We start from the raw sequence: 18,500 nt of genomic DNA on the forward strand, positions 1-18,500 counted from the left end.
TGCAGGGAGTGAGGCGCAGGACAGTGAGGGTGGGAAGGAGCCTGATGCAGGGAGTGAGGCGCAGGACAGTGAGGGTGGGAAGGGGCCTGATGCAGGGAGTGAGGCGCAGGACAGTGAGGGTGGGAAGGAGCCTGATGCAGGGAGTGAGGAGCCGGACAGTGAGGGTGGGAAGGAGCCTGATGCAGGGAGTGAGGAGCAGGACAGTGAGGGTGGGAGGTGGCCTGATGCAGGGAGTGAGGAGCCGGACAGTGAGGGTGGGAAGGAGCCTGATGCAGGGAGTGAGGCGCAGGACAGTGAGGGTGGGAGGCGGCCTGATGCAGGGAGTGAGGCGCAGGACAGTGAGGGTGGGAAGGAGCCTGATGCAGGGAGTGAGGAGCAGGACAGTGAGGGTGGGAGGCGGCCTGATGCAGGGAGTGAGGCGCAGGACAGTGAGGGTGGGAAGGAGCCTGATGCAGGGAGTGAGGCGCAGGACAGTGAGGGTGGGAAGGAGCCTGATGCAGGGAGTGAGGCACAGGACAGTGAGGGTGGGAAGTGGCCTGATGCAGGGAGTGAGGCGCAGGACAGTGAGGGTGGGAAGGAGCCTGATGCAGGGAGTGAGGAGCCGGACAGTGAGGGTGGGAAGGAGCCTGATGCAGGGAGTGAGGCGCAGGACAGTGAGGGTGGGAAGGGGCCTGATGCAGGGAGTGAGGCGCAGGACAGTGAGGGTGGGAAGGAGCCTGATGCAGGGAGTGAGGAGCAGGACAGTGAGGGTGGGAGGCGGCCTGATGCAGGGAGTGAGGAGCCGGACAGTGAGGGTGGGAAGGAGCCTGATGCAGGGAGTGAGGAGCCGGACAGTGAGGGTGGGAAGGAGCCTGATGCAGGGAGTGAGGCGCAGGACAGTGAGGGTGGGAGGCGGCCTGATGCAGGGAGTGAGGCGCAGGACAGTGAGGGTGGGAAGGAGCCTGATGCAGGGAGTGAGGAGCAGGACAGTCAGGGTGGGAGGCGGCCTGATGCAGGGAGTGAGGCGCAGGACAGTGAGGGTGGGAAGGAGCCTGATGCAGGGAGTGAGGCGCAGGACAGTGAGGGTGGGAAGGAGCCTGATGCAGGGAGTGAGGCGCAGGACAGTGAGGGTGGGAAGTGGCCTGATGCAGGGAGTGAGGCGCAGGACAGTGAGGGTGGGAAGTGGCCTGATGCAGGGAGTGAGGCGCAGGACAGTGAGGGTGGGAAGGGGCCTGATGCAGGGAGTGAGGCGCAGGACAGTGAGGGTGGGAAGGGGCCTGATGCAGGGAGTGAGGAGCCGGACAGTGAGGGTGGGAAGGAGCCTGATGCAGGGAGTGAGGCGCAGGACAGTGAGGGTGGGAAGGGGCCTGATGCAGGGAGTGAGGCGCAGGACAGTGAGGGTGGGAAGGGGCCTGATGCAGGGAGTGAGGAGCCGGACACTGAGGGTGGGAAGGAGCCTGATGCAGGGAGTGAGGCGCAGGACAGTGAGGGTGGGAAGGGGCCTGATGCAGGGAGTGAGGCGCAGGACAGTGAGGGTGGGAAGGGGCCTGATGCAGGGAGTGAGGAGCCGGACAGTGAGGGTGGGAAGGAGCCTGATGCAGGGAGTGAGGCGCAGGACAGTGAAGGTGGGAAGGGGCCTGATGCAGGGAGTGAGGCGCAAGACAGTGAGGGTGGGAAGGAGCCTGATGCAGGGAGTGAGGCGCAGGACAGTGAGGGTGGGAAGGAGCCTGATGCAGGGAGTGAGGAGCAGGACAGTGAAGGTGGGAAGGAGCCTGATGCAGGGAGTGAGGAGCCGGACAGTGAGGGTGGGAAGGAGCCTGATGCAGGGAGTGAGGAGCTGGACAGTGAGGATGGGAAGGAGCCTGATGCAGGGAGTGAGGAGCAGGACAGTGAGGGTGGGAAGTGGCCTGATGCAGGGAGTGAGGCGCAGGACAGTGAGGGTGGGAAGGAGCCTGATGCAGGGAGTGAGGAGCAGGACAGTGAGGGTGGGAGGCGGCCTGATGCAGGGAGTGAGGAGCCGGACAGTGAGGGTGGGAGGCGGCCTGATGCAGGGAGTGAGGAGCAGGACAGTGAGGGTGGGAAGTGGCCCGATGCAGGGAGTGAGGCGCAGGACAGTGAGGGTGGGAAGGAGCCTGATGCAGGGAGTGAGGAGCCGGACAGTGAGGGTGGGAAGGAGCCTGATGCAGGGAGTGAGGAGCCGGACAGTGAGGGTGGGAAGGAGCCTGATGCAGGGAGTGAGGAGCAGGTGTGAGGGCGGGAAGCGGCCTGATGCAGGGAGTGAGGAGCAGGACAGTGAGGGTGGGAAGGGGCCTGATACAGGGAGTGAGGAGCAGGACAGTGAGGGTGGGAAGGAGCCTGATGCAGGGAGTGAGGAGCCGGACAGTGAGGGTGGGAAGCAGCCTGATCTTTGCACGGGCTGCCAGGCTTCTGGTTCATACAGCCCCAGGTCAGTTTCCAGAACCCTCGCTCTTGGGTAGGGGAAAGAGACATTGCTCTGGAGTGGCAGGACGGTGGGAGAAGTTGAGTCCCTCTCATTTCTCCTCCCTCACCCCCTGCCTTCCATCCCAGTCTGAAGGCAGCCAACCTGATCCTGGGCTTGGAAGGTTGGGGGTGGGCTTCCTATCCTGGGCTCTCTGCATAGGCTCTTGTGGCTTCCCCTTTCCTCCCCTCAGGAGCGGGAGGCAGCTCTCTGGGAGAAGAAAGGACATTGGGAGTGAGAATCTGGATGTGCCTCAGCCCAGCTCTGTGTCCTTGGGCAGGTCACATGGCCTCTCTGAGCCTGGCTGAACCAGGGATAATCCACACCTCGTGGGGTCTCTGGAAGGCTTAACACAGTGCTAGGTTCCTGTGCTTTCTGGATCCGCCCTCTTGGCTAGCCAGATCCAGTCTCTTCAACTCTCTCCTCCTGAACTTTCTCTTTCCAGGCTCGGGGGGGGGGACCCAAATATAGGGGGTTCTGCGTGGCTGCCTCAGGGTTAGATGCCCTGGTGGGAAAGGGGCTTCTGGCTTCAAGATCAATGTTTAACTGGATGTGCAAGTCAATATTTACCAGAAGAGAAAGCAATCTGAACAGGGGTTGGCTGAGAGTAAAGGTCCTGGTGGGAGGGGAGGGGTGGGCTGGGCCAGCTGGAGCCTGGGCAGAGAGTGAGGAGCACCCAAGTGGGGCCAGAGGAACGTTGTGTGTGGCAGCAAGGAGCCCGCAGAGGTATGAGGGGAGGGGCTGCTCGGCCTGCTCCTTGGGTAGGAGAGGAGGAGGGAGCTGCCTCCCTGGCTGAGGGGTCTGGGATTTATTCAGGAGGCCTGTCACTCCCCAGCCTCTTCTGGGACTTGAAAAACTGGAGCCTGTTCTTGGCAAGAAGATTCTAATGCCCAGGTCGGAGTCGGGGCCCTGGCCAAGGGCTCTTGTGTGGGATGGGGGTGGGGCCGGGGGGACCAAAGGATCCTCCAGAAGGGTTGGCCCCAAGATGGGGGTGGGCTGGAGGTAGCTGAGACCTGCTCTGACTTATCCTCCTGAGACCAACACCTGCCCTTCCCAGAGCCAGCCTGGAGCAGAGGCCTGTGATGCTCCTAAGTGCAGAGGTGGCTCTGGCCAGAGTCATTCACTGGGCTCTGCTGCTGGGTCAAAAGGCAGCTCTCTGGCTGCCTTGCCACCCATGGTGAGACCTCAGGGCCTCACAGGTATGTCCAGCCTTGTGGGCAAGACCTGACCAGCCTGAGAAAGACGGGTTGGGGCCAGGCGTGGTGGCTCATGCCTGTCATCCCAGCACTTTGGGAGGCTGAGGCAGGTGGATCACCTGAGGTCAGGAGTTCGAGACCAGCCTGACCAACATGGAGAAACCCTGTCTCTACTAAAAATACAAAATTAGCCAGGCATGGTGGCACATGCCTGTAATCCCAGCTACTCGGGAGGCTGAGGCAGGAGAATCGCTTTAACCCAGGAGGTGGAGGTTGCAGTGAGCCGAGATCGTGCCATTGCACTCCAGCCTGCATGATAAGAATGAAACTCCATCTCAAAAAAAAAAAAAAAAAAAAAAAAGACAGGCTAAATGGATGCAGCAGGCTGGGTAGGAGCTCTGTGTTGGAGCTCTGCGGTGGAGGCTTCAGGGCAGGCTTCCCAGAAGAGGTGGCCTTGAGCCAAGCTGACCCCAGCCATCGGGGGAGTGCCAAGCATTGTACTCAGGGTTTACAAAGATGGTCTTATTTATTTTTTTGAGACAGAGTCTTGCTCTGTCGCCCAGGCTGGAGTGCAGTGGCGTGATCTCGGCTCACTGCAACCTCCGCCTCCCGGGTTCAAGCAGTTCTCTGCCTCAGCCTCCCGAGTAGCTGGGATTACAGGGGCCCACCACCACGCCTGGCTAATTTTGTATTTTCAGTAGAGATGGGGTTTTACCATGTTGGCCAGGCTGGTCTTGAACTCCCGACCTCAGGTGATCCACCTGCCCCTGGCCTCCCAAAGTGCTGGGATTACAGGCTTGAGCCACCGTGCCTGGCCACAAAGATGGTCTTTTGCCGGGTGCAGTGGCTCATGCCTGTAATCCCAGTACTTTGGGAGGCCGAGGCAGGAGGATCACCTGAGGTCGGGAGTTTAAGACCAGCCTGACTAACACAGAGAAACCCCGTTTCTACTAAGAAATACAGAATTAGCCAGGCGTGGTGGTGCATGCCTGTAATCCCAGCTATTCGGGAGGCTGAAGCAGGAGAATCGCTTGAACCTGGGAGGTGGAGGTTGCGGTGAGCCGAGATCCTGCCACTGCACTCCAGCCTGGTCAACGAGAGCGAAACTCCGTCTCAAAAAATAAACAACAAAAAATCCCAAAAAGACGGTCTTATTTTGGTCCTCACCATGCATGTGAGAAGAGTGAGGGACTTGTGCCACCGTTTTACAAGGTAAGGCCAAGCCTGGTGGAGTTACGGGAAATGCCGAGGTCCTTTGGCAAGAGGTAGCCTGGATTCAGACACAGATCTGATTCACAGCGCAGGGCCTTGTAGAATGAGAACGTTTTTGATTTGGTATCTCCCTCCTATTCACCAAAACACCCTCAGTGCATGAAATGCATGAAATATGAAACACCAGAAACTAAAAAGGGGGAGAAGCCAGGGCGGATGTCCCAGCTGCAGGAGTGGGAGCCGCTGCTCGTGTGTTTGGGGTCTGTTCTGATTCTGGAGCCTGCTTCTTCCCCTTGGCAATCATGACCCAGGACTTGGCGTTATCTGTGATCGCGTGGGTAGGATTCCCTGGCGGGCGTGGGGATGTGAGATGGGAACAGAGCTTTCTGTCCCTGCCACAGGAACATGGCGCTGCTCTGGGGGCTCCTGGTGCTCAGCTGGTCCTGCCTGCAAGGCCCCTGCTCCGTGGTGAGGCTGGGCTGAAGTCAAGGTGGGGTGGGGTGGAGGGGGAAGAAGAGGGGCGTTGGCATGGAGGGAGGGCTTGGCTCCGAGGGGACCTCCTATCCTCATCCCTTTCTCCACAGTTCTCCCCTGTGAGCGCCATGGAGCCCTTGGGCCGGCAGGTACTGGGGAGTGAGGAGCCTGTGATGGGGGGAAGGTCCCGGGGGTCTCACTGGTGGCTTGGGCAGGGTGGGGGGCCTGTGGGAAGGGTCGGTCTCCATCTGCTTGCTCCTTTCCGCAGCTAACTAGCGGGCCGAACCAGGAGCAGGTGTCCCCACTTACCCTCCTCAAGTTGGGCAACCAGGTACAACCAGGTGGGGCTGGGGAAGAGTGGGCGGGGCTAGAGGGAGGAGGGCCCATCGGCAGGGGTCGGGGGGTGGGGGCGCGTGCTGAGGCTGAGGCTCTGGAGTCCAGAGGCCAGAAGGGAGAGAGGGTGGGGAGGACCGAAGGTGGGCGCCAGGCCCCAGAATGCCAGTGCCCTCCGTCTGACGCTCCCTCTTCCCTGGGGCTGGGACAAGGCCCTGCTGTCCTCAGGCACAGGGGCTGTGACAAGGCCTTCAACACAGAACCTGGAGCTGACCCCTTGACCTCCCTGACCCCTGATCTGTCCCTGCAGGAGCCTGGTGGCCAGACTGCCCTGAAGAGTCCCCCAGGAGTCTGCAGCAGAGACCCCACCCCAGAGCAGACCCACAGGCTGGCCCGGGCCATGATGGCCTTCACTGCCGACCTGTTCTCCCTGGTGGCTCAAACGTCCACCTGCCCCAACCTCATCCTGTCACCCCTGAGTGTGGCCCTGGCGCTGTCTCACCTGGCACTAGGTACCCTGGCACCACTTGTCCAGACCAAGAGAGCTGGGAGGCCAGTAGGAACTCAGTACTCCAATGGTTCTCCGCGGGCGGTTCCTCCACCAGGGTCACGTGGCTGTTTGGTAAAAATGCAGATTCCTAGGCCGGGGCGGTGGCTCACGCCTGTAATCCCAACACTTTGGGAGGCTGAGGCGGGTGGATCACGAGGTCAGGAGTTCAAGACCAGCCTGGCCAACATGGTGAAACTCTCTCTACTAAAAATACAAAAAATTTAGCTGTGCGTGGTGGTGCGCACCTGTAATTCCAGCTACTCAGGAGGCTGAGGCAGAGAACTGTTTGAACCTGGGAGTTGGAGGTTACAGTGAGCCGAGATGGCGCCACTGCACTCCAGCCTGGGTGACAGAGCAAGATTCCGTCTCAAACAACAACAACAACAAATGCAGATTCCTGGGCCCCCACCCATCTGTCTATGTGAATCAGATCTCAGGGACTGGGCCGGGGAATCTGCTTATTTACAAGTCCTCCTGGTGATTTTTTTTTTTTTTTTGAGACAGAGTCTTGCTCTGTCACCCAGGCTAGAGTGCAGTGGTGTGATCTCAGCTCACTGCAACCTCTGTCTCCCAGGTTCAAGCAATTCTCCTGCCTCAGCCTCCCAAATAGCTGGGATCACAGGCACCAGCCACCATGCACAGCTGATTTTTGTATTTTTAGTAGAGACGGGGTTTCACCATGTTGGCCAGGGTGGTCTCGAACTCTCGACCTAAGGTGATCAACCTGCCTCAGCCTCCCAAAGTGCTGGGATTACAGGCGTGAGCCACCGCGCCCGGCCCCTCCTGGTGATTCTTATGCAAGAGTTTGCTAGCTACACTCTTTCCCACTGTGCTGGAGGGTCTCACTGTGGGAAACGGAAGCCCAGAGAGGGAAGGTAACTTGTGGGGGGTGAGGTCACCCAGCCTGTCAGCCACAGGGGTGAGAGCCACGCAGAACAGATCCGTGGCTGTGGAAGGATGGCGTGTGGTCCCGTGGACGTCCTCGTCACGGGTATCCAGGAGGGACTGGAGTGGGCAGTGGGGGTGAGAAAGGACCCGCAGCCGGGCCTCAGCCTGTGCGGTGCCCTCCAGGTGCTCAGAACCACACGTTGCAGAGGCTGCAACAGGTGCTGCACGCAGGCTCAGGGCCCTGCCTCCCCCATCTGCTGAGCCGCCTCTGCCAGGACCTGGGCCCCGGCGCGTTCCGACTGGCTGCCAGGATGTACCTGCAGAAAGGTAGGCGCTGATGGCAGGGAGCTCCCTCAGTCCTGCCCTGGGTGGAGGAGGGTGAGAGCAAGGGGCTGGGCCTCTGGTAGCGAGTAGGGGCGTGTCTGGCTGTGGAGCCTGGAGCCCTGGGAACAGCTTGTGCTGCCTCCGTGCAGGATTTCCCATCAAAGAAGATTTCCTGGAACAATCCGAACAGCTATTTGGGGCAAAGCCCGTGAGCCTGACGGGAAAGCAGGAAGATGACCTGGCAAACATCAACCAATGGGTGAAGGAGGCCACGGAGGGGAAGATTCAGGAATTCCTCTCTGGGCTGCCGGAAGACACCGTGTTGCTTCTCCTCAACGCCATCCACTTCCAGGGTGCGCTCCTCCTCCTCTCAGATCCCCCACCCTGTAGGCTGAGCTGGGACGTGCAGGCCTTTTTGTTTTTTGAGACAAGTCTCGCTCTGTCACCCAGGGTGGAGCGCAGTGGCGCGATCTCGGCTCCCTGCAACCTCCGCCTCCCGGATTGAAGCGATTCTCCTGGCTCAGCCTCCCCAGTAGCTGGGATTACAGGCATCTGCCACCACACCCAGCTAATTTTTGTATTTTAGTAGAGACAGGGTTTCACCATGTTGGCCAGGCTGGCCTTGAACTCCTGACCTCAGGTGATCCACCCACCTCGGCCTCCCAAAGTGCTGGGATTACAGGCGTGAGCCACCGCGCCCGGCCATGCAGGCTTTGTTCTGAGGGTCTCCTTTCTTCCTCAGTCTGGGCCATGAGGCAGGAGGCTGTCTGGGTGTGGTGGGGATGGGTGCCCAGGAGCCAGATGAGTTGTTCTAGAGTGAATACCCTGGGAACAAATGGTCTGAAAAGATCCAGGAGGGGCTGGGCGCGGTGGCTCACGCCTGTAATCCCAACACTTTGGGAGGCCGAGGCGGGCAGATCATGAGGTCAGGAGATGGAGACCATCCTGGCTAACACGGTGAAACCCCCGTCTCTGCTAAAAATACAAAAAAATTAGCTGGGCGTAGTGGCGGGCACCTGTAGTCCCAGCTACTCGGGAGGCTGAGGCAGGAGAATGGCGTGAGCCCGGGAGGCGGTGGAGCTTGCAGTGAGCGGAGGTCGTGCCACTGCACTCCAGCCTGGGCGACAGAGCGAGACTCCGTCTAAAAAAAAAAAAAAAGATCCAGGAGGAGGTTCCTAGGAGAATTGCAGGGGTTGGGGAAAACACAAGCCCAGATTTCAAAAATGCTACGGGAAAGAGACCTTAGATCAATTGGATGCCAGCTAGCATTCCCTGGGGTCTTGGCCTCCACCGCTGTCTCATCCTTGAATGGATTCTGGGTGGGACAGGCAACGGGCTGGGGGTGCAGAGCCCAAGCTGGTCCCCATCGACGTGACCCCTGCCCTCTGCCCCAAGCTGGTCCCCGTCGACGTGACCCCTGCCCTCTGCTGGGTTTCAGGTTTCTGGAGGAACAAGTTTGACCCGAGCCTTACCCAGAGAGACTCCTTCCACCTGGACGAGCAGTTCACGGTGCCCGTGGAAATGATGCAGGCCCGCACGTACCCGCTGCGCTGGTTCTTGCTGGAGCAGCCTGAGATCCAGGTCACCCTTGGTTGTCCAGCAGGCTGGGCCTGAGGCTGGGAGGTGGGGAAGGGAGTGGACAGGCTGTGGAGCAGGCACAGGGATGGGTGGAGGCTGTCTCGCCTTCCTTGCCTCCACGTCCCCTAGGCAGGCAACTGCAAAAGGTCCCATGATCCCCCATCCTACCTGGCAGGAGGACTGAGGCTCCAGGCTCTTTGAGGTTTAGTAATTCAGTGAAAATATACTGGGCATTTGCTGTGTTCCAGATACTGTTCTAAGCACTAGGGTTTTTGTGGAGCATGAGGGAGGCCAGGTCTCTGCTCTTAGGAAGGAGGATACACAGTGCAACAGTGAATGGACATCAACACAGGAATTCCAGACGCTGGGAAGCGCTGTGGAGGGAAAGCTGAAAAAGAAGGTGATTTTGGCCGGGAGCGGTGGCTCACGCCTGTAATCCCAGCACTTTGGGTGGCCCAGGCAGGTGGATCATAAGGTCAGGAGTTTGAGACCAGCCTGGCCAAGATTTGAAACCCCGTTTCTACTAAAAATACAAAAATTAGCCAGGCGTGGTGGCAGGTGCCTGTAATCCCAGCTACTCCAGAGGCTGAGGCAGGAGAATCACTTGAACCCAGGAGGGAAAGGTTGCAGTGAGCTGTGATTTTGAGGTCAGGAGTTCGAGACCAGCCTGACCAACATAGCAAAGCCCCGTCTCTACTAAAAATACAAAAATTAGCCAGCCATGGTGGCGGGCGCCTGTAATCCCAGATACTCTGGAGGCTGAGGCAGGAGAATCACTTGAACCCGGGAGACGGAGGCTGCAGTGGGCTGAGATCGCACCACTGCACTCCAGCCTGGGAGACAGATTGAGACTCCGACTCAGAAAAAACAAAGGCTGGCCTTGAACTCCTGACCTCAGGTCATCTGCCCACCTCGGCCTCCCTAAGTGCTGGGATTACGGGCATGAGCCACCAGGCCTGGCCTTATTTAGGCATTTTAGAGTGGTAAGGGAGAATTCTGTGAGGAGGGGGCATTGAATTGAGACTCAGGTGACCGTTGTTGATAAGGGTTTATTACAAGGGCCCATGGACTTTGGGGCAGCACAGGGACCACCCCACGGCCATGTAGCCACTCAGGGTCTCTGCAGCCCCCAGCCTGGGAGATTCCACGGGGCGCTCACACAGTGCTCCTTAGAAAGGAGGATCTGATTGGATTGGATTTCTCAGCATCTTGCGTGGAACATTCTGATTGGATAAACTTCTTTTTTTTTTTTTTGAGACAGAGTCTTGCTCTGTCACCCAGGCTGGAGTGCAGTGGCACGATCTCGGCTCACTGCAGCCTCTGCCTCCTGGGTTCAAGCCACTCTCCTGCCTCAACCTCTCGAGTAGCTGGAACTACAGGCATGCACCACCACGCCTGGCTAATTTTGTTCGTTTGTTTGTTTGTTTTTGAGACGGAGTTTCTCTCTATCGCCCAGACTGGAGTGCAGTGGTGCAATCTCGGTTCACTGCAATCTCTACCTCCCGGGTTCAAGGGATTCTCCTGCCTCAGCCTCCCGAGTAGCTTGGACTACAGGCGCCCGCCACCATGCCCAGCTAATTTTTGTATTTTTAGTAGAGACGGGGTTTCACCATATTGGCCAGGATGGTCTCAATCTCCTGACCTCGTGATCCGCCTGCCTCAGCCTCCCAACGTGCTGGGATTACAGGTGTGAGCCACCGTGCCCGGCCAATTTTTGTATTTTTTTTTTTTAGTAGAGACAGGTTTCACCATGTTGGCCAGGCTGATCTCAAACTCCTGACCTCAAGTGATCCGCCCGCCTTGGCCTCCCAAAGTGCTGGGATTATAGGCAGGAGCCACTGCGCCCAGCTCTGATTGGATAAAATTCCGTGCCAGGCTGTCTCAGGTGTGGCCTCTCTTGCTTCTAGCCTAAATGTGGTCCCCTTGGCCTGGGTATTGATCCCCGGGCCAGACAGCTGTGGCTGAGATGGCTGTATTTGTTAGCTTCCCAAGGCAAGTGTGACACAGAGCACAGCCACTTCTGCAGGGAGGAGCCAGAAGCCACTTGGGCAGCCCTCCTGGGAGGGGGCTGTGGGTGAGGCTGGCCCGGGAACGCGTCCTGGCTTCCCTGCAGCTCATTCTGAAAGGCCAGTCTGATCCACCTCCCCGAGGCTCCCCTTTCCTGCTTCCCCTTTCCTCCAGGCTGTGTCCTGCGTACTCTTCCTTCATCCTTCGTCTCCTTTCCTTAGGCCCCGTCAGCCTTTCTTGTCCTCAGGCCCTCTGCAGACAGGCCCAAACAGCCAGAACCCGGGGCTTATCCTCCCACGGGCAGGGGTTCTCCACACGGGTACTCTGCCTGGAACCCAAGGAGTCACAGCTGCAGGAGGCCCTCGAGCCCTGTGGTGTCCACACTGCTTTTGCTGCAGAATCCCTTCAAATCAAATCTTAATGGCTGGGCACGGTGGCTCACGCCTGTAATCCCAGCACTGTGGGAGGCTGAGGCAGGTGGATCACCTGAGGTCTGGAGTTTGAGACCAGCCTGGCCCACATGGTGAAACCCCGTCTCTACTAAAAATACATCAATTGGCCAGGTGAGATGGTGAGCGCCTGTAGTCCCAGCTACTCGGGAGGCTGAGGCAGGAGAATCACTTGAACCCGGGTGGCAGAGGTTGCAGTGAGCCAAGATCATGCCACTGCACTCCAGCCTGGACAATAAGAGTGAAACTCTGTCTTGAAAAAAAAAAAAAAAGAGGCTGGGTGTGGTTTACAGGCTCATGCCTGTAATCCCAGCACTTTGGGAGGCCAAGGCAGGTGGATCACGAGGTCAGGAGATTGAGACCATCCTGGCTAACACGGTGAAACCCCATCTCTTCTAAAAATACAAAAAATTAGCCGGGCGTAGTGGCGGGCACCTGTAATCCCAGCTACTCGGGAGGCTGAGGCAGAAGAATGGCGTGAATCCACGAGGCGGAGGTTGCGGTGAGCCGAGATTGCGCCACTGCACTCCAGCCTGGGCGACAGTGCGAGACTCCAACTCAAAAGAAAAGAAAAAAAAAGAAATCTTAAGCCAAATCACAATATATTTACACAGCTGGCAAAGTCACAAGAGGGAGGTGTGGGAGGGTGGGGCGGGCAGCACTCGGCAGTGGCTCACCCACAGAACCCAGCTGTGGTATGACAGCCAGTGACCCTGTCTGTGGTACATCTGGAGAAGCTGAGACAAAGACAGGCGATTCCTTACGCCGGGTCACACGGCCAGCTGGTAGCCGGTGAAGAGAGAAAACCACCAGGTATTATTGAGCACCGTCTGTGACAGCGGACACTGCTACAATGTTGTTTTTTTTCTTTTTTTGAGACGGATTTTTACTCCTGTCCCCCAGGCTGGAGTGCAGTGGCTTGATCTTGGCTCATGGCAACCTCTGCCTCCCGGGTTCAAGCAATTCTCCTGCCTCAGCCTCCCGAGTTGCTGCGATTACAAGCGCCCGTCACCACAGAAGCCCAGCTCATTTTTGTATTTTTAGTAGAGATGAGGTTTTGCCATGTTGGTCAGGCTGGTCTTGAACTCCTGACCTCAGGTGATCTGCCTGCCTCGGCCTCCCAAAGTGCTAGGATTACAGGCGTGAGCCCCCATGCCCGGCCACACTGCTAGAAACTTTAAAAGCATCTCATTCGGTTACGTGTCCGCCTGCAGTGGGACAGGTAGTATGACTCCACCCCACTGTGAGGAAGTGGAGGAGCAGTGGGGTCAGTCACACGCCTGGCAGGATGGCCAGGAGCCCCATTGTCTGCCTTAGGAGCACCTGCTGGCCCCACCCCCACTTAGCTTCGGGGCTTTCTGTCCTCATGCTCTTCCCTTCCCTTTTCTGTAGGTGGCTCATTTCCCCTTTAAGAACAACATGAGCTTTGTGGTCCTTGTACCCACCCACTTTGAATGGAACGTGTCCCAGGTACTGGCCAACCTGAGTTGGGACACCCTGCACCCACCTCTGGTGTGGGAGAGGCCCACCAAGGTCCGGCTGCCTAAGCTGTATCTGAAACACCAAATGGACCTGGTGGCCACCCTCAGCCAGCTGGGTAAGGAGGAGGGTGCGGGCGAGCCCCCGAGGTCAGGCTGGGCAGGGCGGGTAAGGAGGAAGCGTCTGGCTGGCAGTGGAGCTGAGTCAGAGCTGTCCTGTGTCCTGCTCTTTTCCAGGGCTTCGGGAGCGGGGAGAGGGTTGAATATGAGCCCCCAGACCCTCTGTCCTAGAGGAAGTTGGGGTGGCCCGGGGAATGGGGCTCTGCTTTGCTGCCCAAGACCTCGCATTGCAAGGAGAGTCTGGGTAGAGAGCCTGGGATGGCATGTGAGCCTCGCTGGCTTCCCTGGAAGGGGAAGGAGGAGAAGCTGGGGTGTCACACTGTTAAAGAAATGCTGGGTGGAGTGGCTCATGCCTGTAATCCCAGCACGTTGGGAAGCTGAAGTGGGTGGATTGCTTGAGCCCGGGAGTCCGACACCAGCCTGTGCAACACATTGAAACTCCGTCCCTACAAAAAATACAAAAATTAGCCAGGTGTGGTGCATGCTACTGGGGAGGTTGAGGTGGGAGGCCCTCTTGACCCCAGGTGGCTGAGGCTGCAGTGAGCCATAATTGTGCCACTGCACTCCAGCCTCAGCAAAAGAACTAAGACCTTGTCTCAAAAATAAAAATAAAGGCCGGGCATGGTGGCTCACGTCTGTAATCCTAGCACTTTGGGAGGCCAAAGAGGGTGGATCACCTGAGGTCATGAGTTTGAGACCAGCCTGGCCAACATGGCCAAACCCGTCTCCACTAAAAATACAAAAATTAGCCGGGCGTGGTGGCGCATGCCCATAATCCCAGCTACTTGGGAGGCTGAGGCAGGAGAATTGCTTGAACCTGGGAGGAGGAGGTTGCAGTGAGCCGAGATCACGCCACTGTACTCCAGCCTGGATGACAGAGTGAGACTCCATCTCAAAAAAAAATTATAATAACTAAAATAAATAAATAAAGCATCTATCCTTCAGCCATTTGCTAAGCAGCTGCTGTATTCCAGGCACTGTACCAGGTACCGGGAGCCCACCATGTACAAACAGCTGAGTCTAATGGGGTGGGCAGACGAGCAATCACATACTTACTACAGCATAAGCGATAAGACAGAGAGGGCTTCTCTCCAGCTCACCTGGGAGAACACTGAAAATGTACCTTGGTTGGACTTTAGAGCTGGGGATCAGGGAAGGCTTCCTGGAGGAGGTGGTGTTTAAGCTGAGTCTTGGAAACCGGATAGGAATGAAGCAGGTATCTGTGAGTTCAAGCTGTTCCCTGGCCAGGATCTCAGACACCCTCCCAAGCAGCTCCAGGAGCCTGTGAGGCCAAGGGCAGCTCTGACCAGCCATCTCTGGCCCTGGGCAGGCCTGCAGGAGTTGTTCCAGGCCCCAGACCTGCGTGGGATCTCCGAGCAGAGCCTGGTGGTGTCCGGCGTGCAGCATCAGTCCACCCTGGAGCTCAGCGAGGTCGGCGTGGAGGCGGCGGCGGCCACCAGCATTGCCATGTCCCGCATGTCCCTGTCCTCCTTCAGCGTGAACCGCCCCTTCCTCTTCTTCATCTTCGAGGACACCACAGGCCTTCCCCTCTTCGTGGGCAGCGTGAGGAACCCCAACCCCAGTGCACCGCGGGAGCTCAAGGAACAGCAGGATTCCCCGGGCAACAAGGACTTCCTCCAGAGCCTGAAAGGCTTCCCCCGCGGAGACAAGCTTTTCGGCCCTGACTTAAAACTTGTGCCCCCCATGGAGGAGGATTACCCCCAGTTTGGCAGCCCCAAGTGAGGGGCCGTGGCTGTGGCATCCAGAGTCCCTGCCTGGACCAGCCTCTCCACTCATGTGACTCTTTCCAACCGGCTTTGTGGCACTGGGGCAGGGGCCGGGGGCAGTCTGAGAGAGGCCATTCTTTCCCAACACCTCTTGGGGAGTTTAGGGTGGGGGGGGGGCGCGGCTGGGAGGAGGGCAGGCATCGGGGAGCCGGGAGCCTGACCCTCATCTTTCTTCCAAACAGGCTCAGAGGGTGTCCTGCACCGGGGCCTGGGCAGGAGGGAGGTGCTTCTAGTTCTGCCAGGAGACAGGTTAGCTGCTCCCCACGTCAGCTGGGACACCCCGACTTTTGTTTACCAGAGAAAAAGGGAGGGGGAGAGGGCTGCCTTTGGACTTGTCCCGGGACACCTAGGCTAGGGTGGGGAGAGACGGGCCCTGGTGGTGGCTCGGGAGGCGAAGCGTTGTCCTCAGCCCCGCGTGGAACTCGTGTCTGGCACAGCCTGGCTGTGGCCTAACCTGCCGAGAGTCCATCAGCCTCCATCCTACCCCCTGTGCCTTGTCACGCCAGACTTCCCACGGCTCCTCGAGATCCCAACACTGCCAGCATTTCCCTTCCTTCCTCTCCTGTCTCCCTCCTCTGCCCGGGAGCTCAGGAACCGAGGCAGGGAAGGATCCCATGAGCTCCTTAAGGCTCTTTTGTAAGGTTTTTGTAGTGATTTTTATGCCACCTGAATAAAGAATGAATGGGCCTGGCTGGTTTGATGTCACCGTTCTGGGCATGGGTGGGGACAAGTGAGGATGGTGGGGAAGGCAGGGAGGCGGCCGCAGGGTGGACTGTGCTGAGGAACCCTGGGCCCAGCAGGGGTGGCAGCCCGCGCAGTGCCACGTTTGGCCTCTGGCCGCTCGCCAGGCATCCTCCACCCCGTGGTCCCCTCTGACCTCGCCAGCCCTCCCCCGGGACACCTCCACGCCAGCCTGGCTCTGCTCCTGGCTTCTTCTTCTCTCTATGCCTCAGGCAGCCGGCAACAGGGCGGCTCAGAACAGCGCCAGCCTCCTGGTTTGGGAGAAGAACTGGCAATTAGGGAGTTTGTGGAGCTTCTAATTACACACCAGCCCCTCTGCCAGGAGCTGGTGCCCGCCAGCCGGGGGCAGGCTGCCGGGAGTACCCAGCTCCAGCTGGAGACAGTCAGTGCCTGAGGATTTGGGGGAAGCAGGTGGGGAAACCTTGGCACAGGGCTGACACCTTCCTCTGTGCCAGAGCCCAGGAGCTGGGGCAGCGTGGGTGACCATGTGGGTGGGCACGCTTCCCTGCTGGAGGTGCAGGGGGTCCACGTGGCAGCGGCCACCTGGAGCCCTAATGTGCAGCGGTTAAGAGCAAGCCCCTGGAAGTCAGAGAGGCCTGGCATGGAGTCTTGCTTCTTGCAAACGAGCCGTGTGGAGAGAGAGATAGTAAATCAACAAAGGGAAATACATGGTCTGTCCGAGGATGAGCTGCCGGAGAGCAATGGTGAAAGTGAAGTGGGGGAGGGGGCGGGGCTGGGAGGAAAAGCCTTGTGAGAAGGTGACACGAGAGCACGGCCTTGAAGGGGAAGAAGGAGGGCACTATGGAGGTCCCGGCGAAGCGTGGCCTGGCCGAGGAACGGCATGTGCAGAGGTCCTGCCGAGGAGCTCAAGACAAGTAGGGGACGGTGGGGCTGGAGTGGAGAGAGTGAGTGGGAGGAGGAGTAGGAGTCAGAGAGGAGCTCAGGACAGATCCTTTAGGCTCTAGGGACACGATAAACACAGTGTTTTTTGTCTTGTCAAGTGTGTCCTTTTTATTTTTTTGAAAGAGTCTCGCTCTGTAGCCCAGGCTGGAGTGCAGCGGTGCGACCTCGGCTCACTGCAACCTCTGCCTCCCGGGTCCAAGCAATTCTCCTGCCTCAGCCTCCCGAGTAGCTGGGATTACAGGCATGCGCCACCACGCACTGCTAATTTTTGTATTTTAGTAGAGACCGGGTTTTGCCATGTTGGTCAGGCTGGTCTCGAACTCCTGACCTCAGGTGATCCGCCCGCCTCGGCCTCCCAGAGTGGTGTGAGCCACTATGCCCTGCAGCACTTGTCAAGTCTTTCTCAGCGTTCCCCTCCTCTCCACTGCAGCTCCCAGTGCCCCAGTCTGGGCCTCGTCTTCACTTCCTGGGATCCCTGACATTGCCTGCTAGGCTCTCCCTGTCTCTGGTCTGGCTGCCTTCACTGTAACCTCCACCCAGCAGGTACCTCTTCAGCACCTCCCATGAACCCAGCAGAATACCAAGCCCTGGGGATGCAGCAACGAACAGGTAGACGCTGCACTCCAGCCTGGGCGACAGAGCAAGACTCCGCCTGAAGAAAAAAAAAAGGACCAGGCCGGGCGCGGTGGCTCACGCCTGTAATCCCAGCACTTTGGGAGGCCGAGGTGGGTGGATCATGAGGTCAGGAGTTCAAGACCAGCCTGGCCAAAATGGTGAAACCCCGTCTCTACTGAAAAATACAAAAATTAGCTGGGTGCAGTGGCGGGCGCCTGTAGTCTCAGCTACTCAGGAGGCTGAGGCAGGATAATTGCTTGACCCCAGGAGGCAGAGGTTGCAGTGAACCGAGATCACGCCACTGCACTCCAGCCTGGGCGACAGAGCAAGACTCTGCCTCAAAAAAAAGAATAAAAATAAAAAAAAGGACCAGATACAGAAAACAGAAGGAGACGTACTATGAAGGAAATTGGAGAGCTTTTGGGATACTGAGTAACTCAGGGTGGCCTTTCCCAGGGGACATTTAGCTGAGAGATAGACGGTATGAAGACCTGACCGTTCAGAAACAGGGGAAGAGGCAGCAGCCCGGGCAAAGGCCTTTGGGGCAGGAAAGGGCTTGGATCACTGGAGAAGCAGAAAGATGGCCAGTGTGACCAGAGTGTGACAAAGTCAGAGAAAACCAGGAAGATGGAGCTGGAGACACAGGCGGGGCCAGATCACGAGGGTCCTTGCAGACCAGAGCAAGGGTTTGGATTTTATTCCAAGTATGAAGGGAAGCTGCTGAAGTGTGTTTTCCTTTACAATTTGTAGTTGAAATATAATATGCAAAGTACACAAGTCTTAACTATATGTAAGCTTAATGAATGTTTCCATGAACCAAATACCGCTGTGCAACCATCACCAGCTCAAGAGACGAACCCTTCTCCCTCCTCCTGACTGCCAGTAACATAGTGGTTCAGCTCAAGAAACAGAACTCTTCTGACTTCCCCTAACATAGCGGGTTTTCTTTTTTGTTTTGTTTTTTGTTGTTTTTTAAGAGACAATGTCTTTATTATTTTTATTTTTTTTTATTTTTGAGACGGAGTCTTGCTGTCGCCCAGGCTGGAGTGCAGTGGTGCGATCTCGGCTCACTGCAGGCTCTGCCCCCCGGGGTTCATGCCATTCTCCTGCCTCAGCCTCCCTAGCAGCTGGGACTACAGGTGCCCGCCACCTCGCCCGGCTATTTTTTTGTATTTTTAGTGGAGACGGGGTTTCACCGTGTTAGCCAGGATGGTCTCGATCTCCTGACCTCGTGATCCGCCCACCTCGGCCTCCCAAAGTGCTGGGATTACAGGCATGAGCCACCGCGCCCAGCCAAGAGACACGGTCTTGCTCTGTCGCCCAGGCTGGATGGAGTGCCGTGGTGCGATCACAGTTCGCGGCAGCCTTGACATCCTGGGCTCAAGCA

The 18,500-nt window shown here is 57.9% G+C and overlaps 1 protein-coding gene across 6 annotated transcripts, besides 1 other annotated feature; it reads left to right on the plus strand.

Moving 5' to 3' along the window:
* SERPINF2 (serpin family F member 2) lies at positions 3,147–15,541 on the plus strand. 6 transcript variants are annotated; one of them, XM_047436303.1, is made up of 11 exons: positions 3,147–3,184; positions 3,275–3,352; positions 5,268–5,334; positions 5,451–5,489; positions 5,609–5,671; positions 5,984–6,185; positions 7,295–7,438; positions 7,585–7,788; positions 8,874–9,016; positions 12,862–13,066; positions 14,398–15,541. In XM_047436303.1, the coding sequence occupies exons 2-11, from the start codon at positions 3,345–3,347 to the stop codon at positions 14,808–14,810; spliced, it is 1,488 nt and encodes a 495-aa protein (XP_047292259.1). In that variant the 5' UTR covers positions 3,147–3,184; positions 3,275–3,344; the 3' UTR covers positions 14,811–15,541. The 6 variants fall into 6 exon arrangements, with proteins under 6 accessions (XP_047292259.1, XP_016880254.1, NP_000925.2 ...); XM_017024765.2 differs by having other exon boundaries at positions 3,294–3,352; NM_000934.4 differs by lacking the exon at positions 3,275–3,352.
* Positions 12,546–13,106: an enhancer, noted in NCBI's record as "H3K4me1 hESC enhancer chr17:1655564-1656124 (GRCh37/hg19 assembly coordinates)". NCBI's record gives its function as "activates a minimal SCP1, AML or CMV promoter by ChIP-STARR-seq in primed H9 embryonic stem cells {active_cell/tissue: H9 hESC(primed)}" and the evidence as "EXISTENCE:reporter gene assay evidence [ECO:0000049][PMID:30033119]".

Source organism: Homo sapiens, chromosome 17 (genome assembly GCF_000001405.40).
Source record: "Homo sapiens chromosome 17, GRCh38.p14 Primary Assembly".
Lineage (NCBI taxonomy): Eukaryota > Metazoa > Chordata > Mammalia > Primates > Hominidae > Homo > Homo sapiens.